Source organism: Homo sapiens, chromosome 6 (assembly GCF_000001405.40).
Source record: "Homo sapiens chromosome 6, GRCh38.p14 Primary Assembly".
NCBI classification, from domain to species: domain Eukaryota; kingdom Metazoa; phylum Chordata; class Mammalia; order Primates; family Hominidae; genus Homo; species Homo sapiens.
The window spans coordinates 4,720,244-4,737,694 of NC_000006.12; the positions used below are offsets into that span (position 1 = coordinate 4,720,244).

The 17,451-nt window shown below is 45.6% G+C and overlaps 1 protein-coding gene across 1 annotated transcript in view, besides 4 other annotated features; it reads left to right on the forward strand.

Annotated features, from left to right (window-relative positions):
* CDYL (chromodomain Y like) overlaps window positions 1-17,451 on the forward strand; it is a 249,407-nt gene that overhangs the window by 14,106 nt on the left and 217,850 nt on the right. The window contains exon 3 of the mRNA NM_001368125.1: window positions 14,519-14,601. Coding sequence (NP_001355054.1) covers window positions 14,519-14,601 — 83 coding nt within the window. The remainder of the gene's footprint in view (window positions 1-14,518; window positions 14,602-17,451) is intronic.
* Window positions 5,344-5,891: an enhancer, noted in NCBI's record as "H3K27ac-H3K4me1 hESC enhancer chr6:4725821-4726368 (GRCh37/hg19 assembly coordinates)". NCBI's record gives its function as "activates a minimal SCP1, AML or CMV promoter by ChIP-STARR-seq in naive H9 embryonic stem cells {active_cell/tissue: H9 hESC(naive)}" and the evidence as "EXISTENCE:reporter gene assay evidence [ECO:0000049][PMID:30033119]".
* Window positions 11,773-12,663: an enhancer, noted in NCBI's record as "H3K27ac hESC enhancer chr6:4732250-4733140 (GRCh37/hg19 assembly coordinates)". NCBI's record gives its function as "activates a minimal SCP1, AML or CMV promoter by ChIP-STARR-seq in primed H9 embryonic stem cells {active_cell/tissue: H9 hESC(primed)}" and the evidence as "EXISTENCE:reporter gene assay evidence [ECO:0000049][PMID:30033119]".
* Window positions 12,664-13,553: an enhancer, noted in NCBI's record as "H3K27ac hESC enhancer chr6:4733141-4734030 (GRCh37/hg19 assembly coordinates)". NCBI's record gives its function as "activates a minimal SCP1, AML or CMV promoter by ChIP-STARR-seq in naive H9 embryonic stem cells {active_cell/tissue: H9 hESC(naive)}" and the evidence as "EXISTENCE:reporter gene assay evidence [ECO:0000049][PMID:30033119]".
* Window positions 14,734-14,932: a silencer, noted in NCBI's record as "fragment chr6:4735211-4735409 (GRCh37/hg19 assembly coordinates)". NCBI's record gives its function as "represses an EF-1alpha promoter that drives an FKBP-Casp9 reporter gene in an ReSE screen in K562 erythroleukemia cells {active_cell/tissue: K562}" and the evidence as "EXISTENCE:reporter gene assay evidence [ECO:0000049][PMID:32094911]".

Consider the following 17,451-nt stretch of genomic DNA (forward strand, 5'->3'; position numbering starts at 1 on the left):
TTCACAAGGTTACAAAGCAAAAGGGGAATGTGGTCTTGAAAAATTCTTAAAACTTAACCAGAATGAATGACGACTGATCTTTCTTTCCAATAGTTTGATGTTTGGATTAGTGCATTTCCGTTGTGAAATCCGATTTTCTATTATCCAGTTACACCTAGTAGGCATGAAATAAATGTTTGTTGAAATGAATTAAATGTAATATGCTCAGGTCAATGTCTTTCACATTCTTTATAAGGTCTTATATTTGGAAAATAATATTAACAACCATTTCCATGAATAACATTTACTTCATCCATAGAAAATGTAAAGATACTACCAAAGGGAGCCATCCTAAGATGCCTGAAATGAGTTATTAAATTCTAACTTAACCACAACCAATATTACTAATTTGTTTTAAATAACTTGTCCAACTCCTAGAAGGAAACAAGGATTTGGGGAGCAGAAGTAGATCAAGAAAATTAGTATTAAATGGCAGGAGTAAAGGGATAACATTTGAAATTCTGGCTTCCTGGAGTGATCAGTCAAAAGCTCTCCTGCTGGAAAATAATATCTTGAATTGAAAAGCATTCGGATCATGGTCGATTTTTAACCCAATTAAATTTCCTTCTCCTAGGTAGCCTATTTACTAAAGCAGTATGATAGCTGTTAATATTATCATTTAATAAACATATTGCTAGTAAAAATGAACTCTATTCCAACTATTACCACAGCATAAATAAAGATTTTTTCTCAAAATGTTAGCTTGGTTTGGGATTGCTGCTTTTTCTTTCCAATTGATTTGCCTCTGCCCAGCTGATCTGCCTCTGAGGAGCTAAAAAATACCAATAAATAGTAACACAGACTATTAAAGTATGCTTTTCATAATATGTCAATATCTTTCTATTTCTCAGGATAACCATATGCAGGAAGGATAGGGAAACAATAAACTATTATTTTAACTGCCTAACAGCGTTTTTTCAACTAGAAACCACATTCAAACAACCTTATTTTTCACTATGCAGCACGTAGTCCTTCTCTTATTTCCTTTTTCTTAAAAAAATTGAATGTATTTTGCTAATCTTCTCTGTATCTTTCCAATTTTACCCTGTGTGCTGCCGAAGAGAGCACTTTTCTGGGGGAGGGGAGGGGAGGGGTGTTGTTTTTCTATTTTTGTTTTTAAGACAGAGTCTTGCACTGTCACCCAGGCTGGAGTGCAGCGGCATGATCTCAGCTCATTGCAACCTCCGACTCCCAGGAGTCAAGCAATTCTCATGCCTCAGCCTCCCTAGTAGCTGGGATTACAGGTGTGTGCCACCACGCTTGGATAATTTTTGTATTTTTAGCAGAGATGGTTTTGCCCTGTTGGCCAGGCTGCTATCCACTCCTGGCCTCAACTGACCCACCCACCTCAGCCTCCAAAAGTGCTGGGACTACAGGCATGAGCCACCATGCCTGGCCCAGAACTTCCTAAGAAACACTTACACGTCACTGCTTGCTGTCTCACACTTCCTTGGGTGAATTCCCTGGAGAGTGAAAAGATTCAAACAGACACAAAATGGCAATACATGCTCTGTCCACTTCACAGGAATTTACCTGAATAGTTTCAGACACAGACTTTATCATAATTAAGAATTTTTGTTTTTTGGGGTTTTTTTTTTTAGATGGAGTCTTGCTCTGTCGCCCAGGCTGAAATGCAGTAGCGTGATTTCGGCTCACTGCAAGCTCCACCTCCCGGGTTCACACCATTCTCCTGCCTCAGCCTCCTGACTAGCTGGGATTATAGGCATGTGCCTGGCTAATTTTTGTATTTTTAGTAGAGACGGGATTTCATCATGTTGGTCAGGCTGGTCTCAAACTCCTGACCTTTTGATCCGCATGCCTCAGCCTCCCAAAGTGTTGGGATTACAGGCATGAGCCACTGCGCCCGGCCAGAGAAATATTTTTTAATAAACAACTTCAGAGGCCAGGCACAGTAGCTTATACCTTTAATCCCAGTACTTTGGGAGGCCAATGGGGGGAGGAACACTTGAGGCCAGTTCAACCAGCCTGGGCAACACAGCAGGACCCCATCTCAACAAAAAAATTAAGCACTTTGGGAGGCCAAGGTGGGAGGATGGCTTAAGGTAAAGAGTTCGAGACCAGCCTCAGCTACTTGGCAAGAACCTGTCTCAAGAAAACAAAGAAAAAATTTAAAAAAACACAAAAACTAATTAAATTATGATTATAGAAATCTTCCGAAAGATAAGAAAATGTTCGTCAAATACCAAGTAAAGATTTTTAAAAAGAGTACGTGCCACAGTGACCAACTCATCCTGGTTAATCTAGAACTGCTACAGTTTTAAAACTAAAACTGTTTTAAAGTCCACAGTTCATGCCAGGCACAGTGGCTCATGCCTGTAATCCCAGCACTTTGGGAGGCCATGGCAGGTAGATGGCTTGAGGCCAGGAGTTTGAGACCAGCCTGACCAACGTGGTGAAACTCCATCTCTACTAAAAATACAAAAATTAGCTGGATGTGCAGGTGCATACCTGTAATCCCAGCTACTCGGGAGGCTGAGGCATGACAATTGCTTGAACCCAGGGGGCAGAGGTTGCAATGAGCCAAGATCGTGCCACCGTACTCCAGCCTGGGTGATAAGAGTGAGACATTGTCTCAAAAAATAAAATAAAGCCCACAGTCCTGGGAACACCCCACAGACCAAACTGAGGCAACTGATTACCCTAGCATAAGCAATCTTTGAATGAAAATATCAAAATCATCAAGACCACTCCCTTTAACTGAATTAAACAGCCTTTATTGAATGCCTTCTGTGTATAAAGTACAGGCAGCCCTTCATACCCACAGGTTCCATATCCATGGATACAACCAACCATGGATCTAAAATATTTGGGGGTAAAACTGCAGTAAAAGTAATACAACAATATAAATAATACAAATTTAAAACCCATGTAGTATAACTATTTACATAGCATTTACATGGCAGTAGATATTAAGAAATTTAGCGATGATTTAGAGTACACAGGAGGATGAAGTTTTATACGCATTGACTATGCCATTATATCAGGGACTTGAGCATCTGTGGATTTTGGTATTCCTAGGGTCCTAGAACCAATCCCCAACAGATACCAAGGATGACTGCACTGTGCTGAGCAGGAATCAGTCAGGGTCCAGGCAGGAGACGGACAGTACAGCCAAACTGGGCGATCTGACGACAGTGTCACAAAGAGGCTATTTACAGAGGTGTGGGCATAGTTAGAGAAAACAATGAACAGAGAAGCATCCTGGGCTAGCAAGAGTGGGGGCTGCCAGCACCTGAAAAGGCAGAGGAGGCTGTCCAACCTGAACTCACCACGACCCAGCAGGAGGCGGCAAGCCCTCCCCTCCTCCACCCTACAGACTAGCACTGTGCCTCCCACTGGGTAAATCTGACTACAAGGCAGAGGAAGGGGGCTTGTTGATGGAGTCCTCGCCTGTCAGCACCCCAAGCCACAGAGCAGGGCAGAGTGAGTCTGAAGGCACACAAACAACACATAAGCCTGGCCCCTGCTCTTGGCAACTTAAAAATCTAAGGGAAACATCAAGTCGTTATTTTAGGCACATACTGAGACAACTCACTAGTGCCAAAAACTGAGTGTTTAGGTCTAACCGGTCCCTGCAGAATTAAATCAAAATCAAGTTATTCATTCCTTATGGCTCCTGATCTGCTTTCGGTTAGAATGAATGAGCCCTGGGGATTAAAAGAGAGATTTATGTATCCGTGAAATTATTTTACTCATCCCACATACCTGTGCTAGTTTGAGTCCTGCATCTGTCCCCTCACTTTTTGTGCGCGTTTGAGAGAGTCTTGCTCTGACACCCAGGCTCTGGAGTGCAGGGGCATGATCTTGGCTCACTATAACCTTGACCTCCTGGGTTCAAATGATTCTCCTGCCTCAGCTTCCGAAGTAGCTGGGACCACAGGCATGTGCCATCACACCCAGCTAATTTTTGTATTTTTTTTTTTTAAGTAGAGACAGGGTTTCATTATATGTTGGCCCGGCTGGTCTCAAACTCCTGACTTCATATAATCCACCCACCTTGGCCTCCCAACGTGATGGGATTATAGACGTGAGCCACCATGCCGAGCCTGTCCCCTCTTTATAATTCCAAAGGTGAGGGTGTCTTTCGTGTAACATGTCAGGGCTTACCTTGATGGGTTTATGCTGCAGTACTGTGCCAAATGTCTATACCCTGAAGCAACCTGCTCGCGTCCGGAATCGGTGGGTTCTTGGTCTCACTGACTTCAAATGTGATGCCGCAGACCCTCGCTCTGAGTGTCACAGTTCTTAAAGGCAGCGTGTCCGGAGTTTGTTCCTTCTGCTGCTCGGATGTGTTTGGAGTTTCTTCCTTCTGATGGGTTCGTGGTCTTGCTGGCTTCAAAAGTGAAGCTGCAGACCTTCGCAGTGAGTGTTACAGCTCTTAATGCAGCGCGTCTGGAATTCTTCGTTCCTCTCGTTGGGTTCGTGGTCTCACTGGCTTCAGGAGTGAAGCTGCAAACCTTCGGGTGAGTGCTACAACTCACAAAAGCAGTGTGGACTCAAAGAATTAGCAGCAACAATATTTATTGCAAAGAGCAAAAAAATAAAGCTTCCAAACCGTGGAAAAAGACCACAGCAGATTACCGCTGCTGGCTCGGGCAGCCTGCTTTTATTCTCTTACCTGGCCCCACCCACATCCTGCTGATTGGTCCATTTTACAGAGAGCCAATTGGTCTGTTTTACAGAGAGCTGATTGGTCCGTTTTGACAGGGTACTGATTGGTGCCTTTACAATCCCTGAGCTGGACACAAAAGTTCTCCACATCCCCGCTAGATTAGCTAGACACAGAGTGTCGATTGCTGCATTCACAAACCCTGAGCTAGACACAGGGTTTGTGTCTAGCTGATTGGTGTGTTTACAAACCTTGAGCTAGATACAGAGTGCTGATTGGTGTATTTACAATCCCTTAGCTAGACATAAAGGTTCTCCAAGTCCCCACCAGAATCAGGAGCCCAGCTGGCTTTACACAGTGGATCCCGCACCGAGGGTGCAGGTGGAGCTGCCTGCCAGTCCTGCGCCTGTGCGCCCACACTCCTCAGCCCTTGGGTGGCCGATGGGACTGGGCGCCGTGGAGCAGGGGGCGGCGCTCGTGGGGGAGGCTCCGGCGGCGTAGGAGCCCACAGCGAGGTGGGGAGGCTCAGGCATGGCGGGCTGCAGGTCCCGAGCCCTGCCCCGCTGGGAGGCCTGGGGAGGCAGCTAAGGCCCGGCGAGAAGTCGAGCACAGCAGCTGCTGGCCCAGGTGCTAGGCCTCTCACTGCCCGGGGCTTGCTGGTGGACCTGCACCTCCGGGGCTTGCGGGCGGACCTGCCCGCCGAGCCCACGCCCACCCGGAACTCGCACTGGCCTGCAAGCACCGCGCACAGCCCCGGTTCCGCCCGCGCCTCTCCCTCCACACCTTCCCGCAAGCTGAGGGAAGCAGCTCCAGCCTTGGCCAGCCCAGAAAGGGGCTCCCACAGTGCAGCGGCGGGCTGAGGGGCTCAAGCGTGGCCAGAGTGGGCGCCAAGGCCGAGGAGGCGCCGAGAGCGAGCGAGGGCTGTGAACAAACTCCGGACACGCTGTCACCTCTCACTCTTATCAAAGGTGAGCATCTCTGTGCTTTTCCAAAATGTGTCCATTTTTGTCAAAGCCAAAAACAAAAGAGCAAATTACCAAGCAGCGTTTCACTGCATTTATCTGTTGTCTACAACTCCTGACTTGCTAAGGGCGACTGAAATTTACAGGAGGAACATCACAGGAAATCATCACGAATGTCAGCTCCAAAATGGTCCCCATGTCTTATTCTTTCCATCACCATTAATCCAAGATTTAGAGGTTAAAATTCTAATAAATGGGCCCGGCACGGTGGCTCATGTCTGTAATCCCAGCACTTTGGCGTACACAGGCAGATAACTTGAATTCAGGAGTTCAAGACCAGCCTGGGCAACATTTGTCTCTACAAGAAATACAAAAAAATTAGGCCGGCGTGGCGGCTCTCGCGCATAATCCCAGCACTTTGGGAGGCCGAGGTGGGCGGATCACAAGGTCAGGAGTTCCAGACCAGCCTGACCAACATGGTGAAACCCTGTCTGTACTAAAAATACAAAAATTAGCCAGGCGTGGTACGCACCTGTAATCCCAGCTACTCAGGAGGCTGAGGCAGGAGAATTGCTTGAACCTGGGAGGCAGACGTTGCAGTAAGCCAAGATCGCACCATTGCACTCCAGCCTAGGGGACAGGGCGAGACTCTGTCTCAAAAAAAAAAAAAAAAAAAATTAGCTGGATATGCTGGCACACACCTGTGGTCCCACCTATTTGGGAGGCTGAGGCGAGAGGATTGCTTGAGCCCACAGTGGTTGCAGTGAGCTGAGATGGCATCACTGCCTTCTAGTCCAGCCTGGGTGAGAGAGTGAGACCTGTCTCAAAAAAAAAAAAAAGTCGAATAAATGTATCATAAAATTAGATTTCATTCTGTTAGCATTAAACTGCAGAAATTCCTCACACAATGATATCATCATGGCAGCTAATGTCTCATGAAAAGACAAGTCTCCATGTGAAGGGTGCTTATGATTTTTGGAAAACAAGTTAGTCTGAGACTCCATTCTTCTCTTTGTAAAATGTGGGAAATAATGGGTGACTCATTGATTGTTGTAAGGATTAAATAATATAATTTCCAAAAATACCTAACACTAAGTAGGCTCTAAAATTAGTCTCCCCACCCTCAAACTCTCTACCTTACCCTAAGTGCATATATACATTTAAATACATAGTTTTAGTCACTTTGTTTAACAATGTTACATTTTAGTAATTTAAAAAATATATTTTCCCCAAAACCAGAAACTCCAAATGTATCTCCACTTCCCTGACACAAAGTAGCTATCTGCCAACACAAGGAATGGGGTGAAAGGAATAGGACATTCCATTGAACCAGGAGTTTCCAGAGAAGTGTGGGTTTCTTCCTTTCAACCTCTTTGATGTAATCTAAATCAATAAGTAATGACAGTTTGTCCAAAAGTGTCATACATTCAGGTGAGGAAGAAGGGTAGGAAGCTCATGGATGTATGCAGAGGAACTTAAGAACTCCTCTCAAACACTGTAAAACAGGTTTTCTGTCCATACATAGGGTGGATTTGCAACACAGCCTTCCACAGGCTCAAGCCCATCTGTTGTAAGGAGCATGAGTTAGGACAGAACAAGGAGGAAAACTACCAAGTCATCTCTCTTCACACAAGTCCAGCCAAGTATTGATTGTTTATTCAAAGCTTTCTTTTCTCCCTCCCTCTCTCTGTTCAGTCACTATCCCCTGCCTCCCACCCACCCCCTCCCTCCACCAAATGAAATTAAATTTCTCAACTACCTCTATTTGATGCTGTGTTTAGCATAAGCCCTGAGTAGATATGGATTCTGTTTCTTGAATTTTCCCTGACAAACCGCTTCCAGCTGCCCTTTGGGGTGGGATGCCACCGTGATAAAATACAGTGTCATGTTTGCTGAGGATTTCAGCTGCCACCTGGGGGCTCATGCACTCAATGAGTGCTCTTTAGCAAGGCTGGTGGTGACATGGTGACAAACGGTATGTTGACTTTTTTCTTTCTGTGGTTTAGGACTGGTTGGTTTCAGTCTTGCTGGCTCTTTCTCCTGGGTTACCAACATTTTCCACATTTAGAGCCTGTGACTGCCTCTCCTCCAGGATTATTGCAGCAAGCTCCTTGCTGTCGACAGAAGCCATTTGTTGGTTAGAGGGTTTACAACTGAGACGACCTACAAGTGCCCATTTGATAGTTAACCCATGCTTCAGAATTTGCTTATTTTTTTTCCTTTTTAAGGACTCTTTCTTCAACTAAACAGTTTCTCTTCAGAGTGTTATCACTCCGCTCCCATGAAATGACTGGGACTGTTACTTCTTTTATCTCTGGTCACACCCAGCAAAATTAAGCTTGCTTGTGGATGATTAGCCGTAGGCTGATCCACATCTGAGCCAATTGACTGGCTGCTTAGGAGGACTTTGCCTCGGGCTCACCCCTGAAGCCACCACCCCTGAGGCCACTGCCTGTGCCAGGGCATTCCCAAGCCTCTATCCCCAGTGTGGGCTTCCCTGCTGCATGTGGCTCTTCAGCCTCAGGTTCCTCCTCTTCACTCCCCCATCCTTGCATGGGCTTCCTCTTCCGTCCCGCTTGCTTCTAGAACATTTCCAATTATTGCTTCCAGGTCCTGAACACTAGTGGCTGAACTGAAAAATGGAAAAGATGATGAAAGCCAGGCACTGAGAAATCAGTTAATTAAACTCTTCAGAGGTCCCCAGAAAGGACAGATTCCCCTGCACACCTGATGAGGAATCTTGGACTCTTGCTTATTAAAGGGAAAGGAAGTCCATTTTACTGGACACTTGTCGAGGAATTCCAGCAAGCCCCTGGACAGAGGGCTTCAGTGACCAGGGTAGCTTTCTGCTTTTGGTTGTAAAGAGATCAGAAAGTGTCATCCTTCAAAGCGATGTCATGGGCTCAGAGCCCTTTCTGTGCACTTTGCCATATTGTGCCCACTCCGGTTCTCAAGGTCAGTTGGCCATCTGAAGTGGAACAATGACTTCTCTACAATCCAGCTTTAACTATTTGCACAGTTCCATGCCATTCCACTAATTTAGTACATACCAGGGTGTACCCAGGCTTCAGGCTGGTCTGGGTTCTACTTCCCAAGCCCAGTCCCAGCACATGCCTTCCCAAAGATCTTTCCTCCCAGGTCCCAGTCTCCCTCTTAGGATCAAACCAATTCAACTTAACCCTTATTTAATGTCTTCTCTCTGCCTACTCAGCCCAGTGTGGTAGTCAGGCACAGAAACTCATCAATTACAGCACAGAGTCAGCAGGTCAACAACAGAGTGGGATAAAATTCCCTCTTCTCCAAACACACAAACCCAGCTCTGTAGCATCTTTTTTCCACCCCTGAAATTCCCCCAAACAGACTATCCCTTGTGCTGGCATCCGGCAAGGTCCTAAAGAGGCCCTACAGCCTGTTTTTGCTCAGGCTGTTTTCAAGCCTTTTTCCGATCTATTTTCTCTGAAACTTTGCGTGCATATACACACACCAGAATCAACAAGTCGACTGAGCATGCAAAAGCCACATCCACATTTCTAGACCTTGATACCTTCTCAGACCTCTGGCAAATCTAAAGCCCAGACCAACTGGGATTACTCCCAGGTTATACATTGCTTTAGAGAAGAGAATATTTGTCACACCTAGGCATGGATCCGAGAAGTCCTCACATGCTCACATGCAGAAGGCCCATTCCTTAAGTAATTAGAAATCCATCATCTAAAAAAAACAATGACCAAATCACATTTTGATTAGGATTAAAAGGTGGAGGCTGGGCATGGTGGCTCATGTCTGTAATCCCAGCACTTTGGGAGGCCAAGGCGGGTGGATCACTTGAGGTCAGGAGTTTGAGACCTGCCTGGGCAACAGGGTGAAATCCTGTCTCTACAAAAAATACAAAAATTAGCTGTGCATGGTGGTGCATGTATGTGGTCCCAGCTACTCAGGAGGCTGAGGTGGGAGAATCACTTGGGCCTGGGAAGTGGAGGTTGCAGTGAGCCACGATCACGCTACTACACTCCAGCCTGGGCCATAAAGTGAGACTGTGTCTCAAAAAAAAAGGTAGAGACAATAGTACAGGTACCTTGAAACATCCAAAAACCCAAAAGCTTTTCTATTCTGAAAGGATCAGACAATTTTCTTATAAGAAATATATTTTTTCTGATGAGGCTTTGCTGGAGATATTACCAGAACAAGTGTCTCCAACCACTGGTAGTCTGGAAAATGATAAAGGTGGGTTCTGGGTGGCACAGTGAAACCAGCCTGAGATTACAAACCTTTGCTGGGGGTAAACTACAGAAGCAACCATGGAGACTTAATTCTGTGTTTTTCTGAGATTCTATAATTAGGTAATGTCATTTACATGCTTCCAAGTGAGGGAAGGAAATTCTTTGGAGGCAAAGCGTAACGGTTCCAGTACTGGCACCAAATGTCTTCCTGCTCAGCAAGTCCATTTTAAAGTCTTGTTCATGAGCTAAGCTGAGTTCTCCTACAGAAGCAGAGTGAAGAGTCAAGGAAATGTGAAGACTGGCCAGGCACGGTGGCTCATGCCTGTGATCCCAGCACTTTGGGAGGCTGAGGCGAGCAGATCACAAGGTCAGGAGTTCAAGACCAGCCTGACCAACATGGTGAAACCCCGTCTCTACTAAAAATACAAAATTAGCCTGGCGTGCTGGTGCATGCCTATAATCCCAGCTACTCAGGAGGCTGAGGCAGAAGAATCGCTTGAACCCAGGAGGCGGAGGTTGCAGTGAGCCGAGATTGCGCCATTGTACTCCAGCCTGGGCAACAAGAGCGAAATTCCATCTCAAAAAAAAAAAAAAAAAAAAAAAAAAGAACATACCTCTTTCAGCATCCCCTTGCAGGGTCCTCCCTATCTCTGTGATTCCAATAGTATTCTCTGAAACAACACAGAAGAGTTGGCCTCCCTCCCTCGCCTGACATAGCTCTTTACACAGTTGCAATTCCATGCCTCACTCACCACCCCGTTCTGGTGACTTTCCTCTGCACACATTCCGCCTTGCTCTCCCTCTTAGTTTTTAACACCTATTTAGCAAATATCCTGGAAAAATATTTCCAAAAAAAGTTAAAAGTGGTTGTTTGGAATGATGAGATTACCGGTCCACTGTTGTTTGCTGCTTCTTTGCATGTTTTCAACGTCTGGGCCTGGAACAAGTGCAGGTATTCCTTTGCTCATTCCGTAACGATGCTCAGCATTGAGTGTGCTATCCTGACTAGTGCGAATACTCCATTGCTTGACTTCTCCTGTGTCCGGAACGTTACACTTCTGGTAATACATTGTACGATTGTATTTGTCTTTTTCAAGACCACTTAACACCTTCAGCTTATATAAATCTCGTAGCTAACTGAAGCCTCCAGGTTTTTTCACATGAAGTGTTCACATAAATCATGGATCTCCCAACCTATTTTCATCTTTATGAGTAGTTAAGACATAAATCCTTCTTACAGTATTAAAGGGTGCTAGTGTATTAAACTACCTAAATAGCCAGCATGCCTTTTAAAGGGGCTATCATGATCTAATTCAAATGGTAAGAATTCCAGGGTCTATGTCAGGTGCCCCTGGCTCCCTCTGTGTCTCATCCCCTTCCATTATGGATCCAAAAAACATGTCTTGAAATGTTGCCTCCTGGCCGGGCATGGTGGCTCATGCCTGTAATCCCAGCATTTTGGGAGGCTGAGGTAGGCAGATCACTTGAGGTCAGGAGTTCGAGACCAGCGCCTGGCCAACATAGTGAAACCCCATCTCTATTAAAAATACAATAATTAGCCAGATGCGGTGGCATGCACCTGTAATCCCAGCTACTCAGGAGACTGAGGCAGGAGAATCACTTGAACCCCAGAGGCAGAGGTTGCAGTGAGCCGAGATGCAGGTTGCAGTGAGCCAACATCGCACCACTGCACTCCAGCCTGAGTGACAGAGAAAGACTCTGTCTCAAAAAAAAAAAAGAAATCATTGCCTCCTGCAAAAATTAATATGCAAGAAAATTCAAGGGACTAGTAATCTGTGGAAGGAGGGGGAAGATGGTAATGTTTTATTTCTTTTCGGTGTCAATTACATGAGGTCATTTTATTTTATAATATATTCTCTTGTATGTGTGAAATACAAATTTTAAATATGTGATAATTTAAAAGTAATATGTAGAGTTGATTTAAAATAGGAAAAAATGACTGGGCATGGTGGTCCATCCCTGTAATCCCAGCACTCTGGGAGGCTGAGACAGGAGGATCACTTGAGCCAAGGAGTTTGGGACTGGCCTGGGCAACATAGCAAGATCCTGTCTCTACAAAAAGTACAAAAATTAGCTAAGCATGATGGTGCATGCTTGTAGTTCCAGCTACTCAGGAGGCTGAGGCGGGAGGATTGCTTGAGCCCCAGAGATTGCAAATGTAGTGAGCTCTGATTGTGCCACCGCACCCCAGCCTGGGCAACAGAGCCAGACCCTGTCTCTAAATTAATTAATTAATTTAATTTAATGGGAAGAAATGTCTGGGCACTGCGGCTTATGCCTGTAATCCCAGCACATTGGGAGGCAGAGGCTGGAGGATCACTTGAGGCAAGAAATTCAAGACCAGCCTGAGCAACATAGCAAGACCCCATCTCTACAAAAACATTAAAAAATAAAAAATTCACTGGGCATAGTGGTGAATGCCTGCAGTCATAGCTACTCAGGAGGCTGAGGTGGGAGGCTTGCTGGAGCCTGGGAGGTTGAGGCAGCAAATGAGCTCTGGTTGCACCACTGCACTGCAGCCTGGGCAACAGAGAGAGATCCTGTTTTTTAAAAAAAAAGAGGGGGGGATTGGGGGGGAATTCTCAGTATCCCTTCAATTTTGAGGGGAAAAAAGGTAATAAGAAAAAACAAGGAGAAAGCAATAGATAAGCAAATGAAAGGGAGGAAAACAGATTCAAGTTTGAAAAGGAAAATGAAAGAAAAGATAGCGGCCTGGAAGACAGGCAGAGATAGGAGGATTAGATGGAGTATTTGGCTGAACAGGGACAACAGAGGTGGTGAGGAGTCCCTGCGGCGCTGCAGAGTGGGAGAGAGCGGAACAGTGAAAGCTACTTCGGATCCTCCAAGAAACGTCAGCAAATCCATCCTATTCCTCAGCATTCTGCTTCAGCCACCTAAGGCAGTCAGCCTCCCACTGCCGTTCAGCCTGTGTGGCCCAGAGCCAGGAAGCACGTTCCCTCGCAGCTCTGGGTACAGATTCCCTATACACATGAGTGTCTCCCTCCCGGTGACTCAGCTGCTGTGCTTTCCTCTCCTTCCCCAGGGCCTGAGCAGTAGCCTGCCTGATGATGATCAAGCAGAGCCCTGCAAGTTTCAAGAGGAATGTCAGTGACTCTTCACTGAAACCCCCCAGGTAGGCATGCAGTGACAATCCAGGGCTTTCCTGGACACATTGCAATCCTAACCTCAGGGTAAAAGCCATGTCCCTGTTCCGCCACAGCATGGCAAAATCAATTCCAGTTGGATTAAAAAGTTACATGTTTTTAAAAAAATGAAACCGTAAAAATGTATGTGACTCAGATAAAGTAAAAAAAAAAAAAAGAAAAAAGTGAGTGGTTATGTGTTTTTAAAAAGACAGAGATCAAATGGATAAATATTACACAAGACTAGTCTAAATTGTTTGGTGTACACCATGAAATACTTTTTTCAACCTCTGGCTCCAAATCTCCAAACTTTTGTCCCCTTCCTTACTCCTTGTGCTGAACAGACAGCCTTTTAGTCACTCAGTTTTAAGAGAAACTTCATTCTGGTCATTAAGACTCCATCTCAGGTATGAAAATTTCAGTAAGTGAAGGCAAAGATTAATTTTATATTCGTTTAAAGGCTTTTCCCGTCCACCTAAGGCCAGGCTTGCAGTCCCTGTTCTGGAAGGTGGGCTGTTTGCTCTTTCTGCATTTTACTCCTCTTCTCCTCTCTCTCTGCAGTTTCTTTTTCTTTTTCTTTTCTTTTCTTCTTCTTTTTTTTTTTTTTTCTTGAGACAGAGTCTCACTCTGTTACCCAGGTTGGAGTGCAATGGCACAATCTCGTGTCACTGCAACCTCTGCTTCCTGGGTTCAAGCTATTCTCCTGCCTCAGCCACCCAAGTAGCTAGGATTACAGGTGATGGCTAATTTTTGTATTTTTTAGTAGAGATGGGGTTTCACCATGTTGGCCAGGCTGGTCTCGAATTCCTGGCCTCAGGTGATCCATCCGTCTCAGCCTCCCAAAGTGCTGGGATTACAGGCATGAGCCACCACGCCCAGCCCTCTCTCTGCTGTTTCCCCTCTGGCGTTGTCGGGAAGGGAGGGGAAAGGACTAGGGGAAAGGTGCCTTTATGTAAGTCATGCAGCTGTCCTGACAGTCAAACTCTCTCTCTGGGAGGGTCCCCTTGTGTGGGCTCAAGAGACCTTTGAGGGTCTCTCCAGGGCACTGTTGTCTGATGCATACTGGGTCATCTCAGAGTCCCACTCCTAGGCTCCTGCCAGCTCTCCCCATCACAGCCTGGGGCACATGATGCAGGGGGCTCCCCACCAGACAGCCAGCCACCTTGGGCGGGTCACCAGCCAGATGGCCTGAGTCACTGTCTGCTGCATTCACTTGGCCCACAGCACATCCTTCCACTCCACATTCCAGATGGGGAGAGTGTAGCTGCTCTCTCTGTCTGCTTTCTCTTCATCCCGCTGGGACGGGCTGCTGCAGCAAGACTTTTGCATTCAGAATTCTCTAGATGAAAAGGAGAGACCAGTTTCTATGTTCAGTTAGACTCCTAATTCAGGAAGGGGAGGGCACAGGGATGGGAAGTTGGGGGATGGGGATGGAGGGAAGATGGGGATGGGGAAGAGGATGGGTCCACCTCTCTCAGAAACTTTCTCATTATTCTGTGCTAGTGTCAGCACCAGATGGGCCTTCAGACCCCAGCATCTCCGTGAGCAGTGAGCAAAGCGGGGCACAGCAGCCTCCCGCTTTACAGGTAGGTCTTGGTTTCTCCCAGTGGCAAGCTTGGAGTCCATCTGGCAAGGAAGAGCCCATAGGGGAATCGCCCCACACCACACTCTCCCTTTACATCTGTCCTGTGCTTGGGTCCCTTTGGTGGTCTGGTGAAGCTGTGGACTCCTTAGAATGATGTTTTTGGCCGGGCACAGTGGCTCATGCCTGTAATCCCAGCACTTTGGGAGGCCGAGGCAGGCGGATCAGCTGAGGTCGGGAGTTCAAGACCAGCCTGACCAACATGGAGAAACCCCGTCTCTACTAAAAATACAAAATTTGCTGGGCGTGGTGGCGCATGCCTGTAATCCCAGCTACTTAGGAGGCTGAGGCAGGAGAATCGCTTGAACCCGGGAGATGGAGGTTGCGGTGAGCTGAGATTCATTACATCGTTGCACTCTAGCCTGGGTAACAACAGCGAAACTCTGTCTCAAAAAAAAGAAAAAAAAAAGGACGTTTTTAAGTTTATAAAATAAAATATACAGGACTACAAAGGTTATCAATTACATTGAAATGCAGTTATCACAATCATTTGAAAATGTGTACTCTAGTAATAATGCTTCTTTTTAAAAAAAATCACTTTATTAGGATATAATTGACATACAAAAAGCTGTACCTATTCAGGCCAGGCTCAGTGGCTCATGGCTGTAATCCTAGCCCTTTGGGAGGCCTAGGTGGGTGGATCGCTTGAGGAAAGGAGTTCGAGACCAGCCTGGCCAACATGGTGAAACCCCATCTCTACTAAAAATACAAAAAAATTAGCCAAGCTTGGTGGTGCACACCTGTAATCCCAACTACTCAGGAGGCTGAGGTGGGAGAATCACTTGAACCCAGGAGGTGGAGGTTGCGGCGAGCTGAGATCGCTCCACTGCACTCTAGCACGGGCAACAAGAGCGAAACTCCATCTCAAAAAAAAAAATAGTTGTACATATTTAATGTATACGTGCACCCCCATGAAACTATCACCACAATTTATGTTATAAACATATCCATCATCTCCAAAAGGTTCCCCCGCCCTCTGTATTTATGTGCATGTGTGCACGTGATGGGGGGGGGTGGGATGAGAGCACCTAACAGTTAAGATCTACCCTCTTGGTAAATGCTCAAGTATGCAAGTTCTGTTAACTATAGACAGCATGCTCTCCAGTAGCTCTTTAGAACTTGTATAAGGGAAATGTTGTACCCTTTGACCAAGCCCTCCTGTTTCCCACTCCCCCAGCCCCTGTCAACCATCATTCTGCTCTTTGCTTCTATGTGTTTGACTATTTTATATTTCTCAAGTGAAATGATGTAGTGCTTGTCCTTCTGTGTCTGGCTTCTTTCACTTAGATGATGCTTTATTAAAACATAGTATAACAAGGTCTAACAGTGATTTCTAACTAGTGATGAGTATAAAGGTATTTTGCTATATCTGCAATAGCTGTATGTTATATGAAAACACGTGTGCTTTCTACTAGAGACTAAGTTACAGTTGTTGCTGGTACTACTATAGTTTGTTGCGTACATTCATAATTGGGGGAAATGCAACATTTCAGCTAGAGGATAGTGAAAATAAGGATGGAATATTTTTCCCATTGATGTTTGCAACCTGCCAAGGACAGACAAAGAACCCTTGCACTAGACTGACTACTGCCTGCTCCAGGGAATCCTCCCACAGCCTTCCTGGCCTCTGCTTATATAGGTCAGGAGGGTGCAGGGGACATGGCTGCAGGGCTGGTTTGGTGGCCTCTTGGTGAGGTTTGCAGAATCACCTGGCAACTTCCCTAGGAGTGGAGAGACATGAAAGCCAATGCTACTCAGCTTTTTTTTTTTTCTGCTACGCACTTTATTAGCAACTTAGCTTTTTTTTTCCCTCATAACCCATAGACTTAGCAGGAGGAGCATAGACATTAAGAGTAAGTGCACATGAAACATTGAAAAGGAGTAAACATGAATCCTCTCTTTGCAAAAGACAGTCTCAGAAATTTCTCATCTGCTAATTCACTTAATTCAACAAATTACATCTATCATGTTTCAAGTGCTTTGTTTATCGATATAGTGGTAAACAGAATACACTGATGGGACAAGCAACTCTGAGATGACAGAACGAGTTCCCTAAATAGTCTGTTACTGTGACTCCTGTTTATGCTTGATATTCACAAAATATTCTGGAATTGATACCCGAGAAACTGCTAACAGTGATTACCTCTGGGGAGTAGAGATGGAAATTGAGAGGAAAAGAAGGGAATGTCTTTTCATGTTAAACTCCTTTGTACTGTCTTTAAAAATAATAATAAACATCTTTTTATATGATGAAAAACAAGTTGTAAAGACAACTTTAAAAGTTTTCCTAAAGGAAACCATATGTGACTTTAACTGATTTGAGACAGTAGAAGCTTTCTAAGTATAAAAGTAATAGAAGGAACGATGGGGGAAATTGATAGATTTCACTACACACACAAAAAAAGATGCAAAACACGTCACAGACCAAAAATAACAAACTTAAGAAATATTTGCAACAAAAATTAAAAGGGGCCAGGCGCAGTGGCTCACGCCTGTAATCCCAGCACTTTGGGAGGCTGAGGCGGGTGAATCACCTGAGGTCAGGAGTTTGAGACCAGCCTGGCCAACATGGTGAAACCCCGTGTCTACTAAAAATACAAAATCAGCATGGTGGCACATGCCTGTAATCCCAGCTACTCAGGAGGCTGAGGCAGGAGAATCCCTTGAAACTGGGAGGTGGAGGTTGCAGTGAGCCGTGATCATGTTGCAAAACTCCGTCTCAAAAAAAAAAAAAAATAGCCTCAGCCTCCCAAGTAGGGGGGACTACAGGCATGCACCACCACGCCTGGCTAAT